This window comes from Homo sapiens, chromosome 13 (assembly GCF_000001405.40).
Source record: "Homo sapiens chromosome 13, GRCh38.p14 Primary Assembly".
Taxonomy (NCBI): domain Eukaryota; kingdom Metazoa; phylum Chordata; class Mammalia; order Primates; family Hominidae; genus Homo; species Homo sapiens.
The window spans coordinates 42,537,270-42,538,863 of record NC_000013.11 but is presented as its reverse complement, the minus strand read 5'-3'; positions in this window follow the sequence as shown (position 1 = coordinate 42,538,863).

Here is a 1,594-nt window from a genome sequence, read left to right as displayed (position 1 = left end):
TCACATCACTCACTTTTTAAAGCTGAGACCTTATTAAAATGCAAATGTCAACCAAGGAAAATAAGACATTTACCCATGATAAGTATTGACACTGTATTAGTCAGGGGGCTCCAGAGAAACAGAACCAATAGGAGATATATATATATATATATATATATATATATATATATATATATATATATATATATATATATGTAGGAAGTTTCATTTATAAAATTGGCTTATGTAATTGTGGGAACTGGCAAGTCAGAAATTCACAGGGCACACATGCAGACTGGGAATTCTAGCAGGAGTTGGTGGTGGTGTCTTGAGTCCAAAGACAGTCTGGAGGCAGAATTTCCTTCCTTCTTCCTCCCCTTCTGTGGGAGAATCTCAGTCTTTTCTCTCAAGGCATTCAACTGATTGAATGAGGACCACCCACATTATGGAGGGTGATCTGCTTTACTCAGAGTATACTGATTTAACTGTTAATCCCATCTGAAAAATACTTTCACAGCAACATCTTAAACTTGTGTTTCACCAAACTGGAAACCGTAACCTAGCCAAGTTGACACACAAGATTAACGATCACAAACACCTTGGCTTAAATTAGTTTATTATGTTTATTTGTCAGTTTTCTGAGAGGTCAGTACTTGGGAAAGGCTGATTTTCACAAGGTATAAAAGAAGGGAAGGGTAAAAAGAACAACAGAATAGGAATCCCTGACATCAGAAAGCATAAGTCAAACACTGCTACAGGGAGTCCAAGACCAGGAAGATGGCAGGGAGGACACGAGGTGCAGAGAATTTGTCTGTGGGAAAGGGGAGGCCAGGGATTCTAAAGGAAGTTCCCCCAAAAGTTGAAGGATGAGGAGGAGTATGAAACATAGTTAGCCTAGAGCCTCTAAACTCATCTGTAGAGGCCCTTGGGCAATTCTTGAACTAGACCTTTGTCGAACCTTCATCTCTATTGAGGATTCACACAAGAAACAGCAAGAACAGTAACATTTATTGATTGGCAAACACCATGTGCCACAAACTACTTTAATATCTTCATATATTTAATCTTCCCAAGATGAAATGAAAGTGGTTCTACCATTGTCTCCATTTTACAAATTAAAGAACTGACACCTAGGGAAATTAAGTAACTTCTCTAGACATACAACTGGAAATTAGCATAGCTGGGATTTAAACCTATACAACCTGCCATCAAAGCTCGTACTCATGAACACTATTCCATCATCTCTGAAACTGCTATTGAAGATATTATCTAAGCTGTTTTGTGTTCCTTGTGTTAGGACATACACACACAATATGTTCCTTTTAGTACCAGGAAAAAGATTGTATCTCCCAAGGACCTGGTTTATTTAGAAATATCAGATAATGTAACCTGTTTGGTTTTCTCCTTCTGCATAGTTTGTAATTTTCTTTTTCAATTTCAATAGTCTCAGTTTATGAACACTTATTTTTCAGGTTTCCTCAAACTCTATTGTAAGTAGGAAGGATACAAATTCTAAAATATGTGTAGCATTATATACATTATATTATTGCTTAAAACACTCAAATAGCAATGGCCAGTGAGAAATTTCATGTTCTTAAAAAAAACGTTCTGTTAT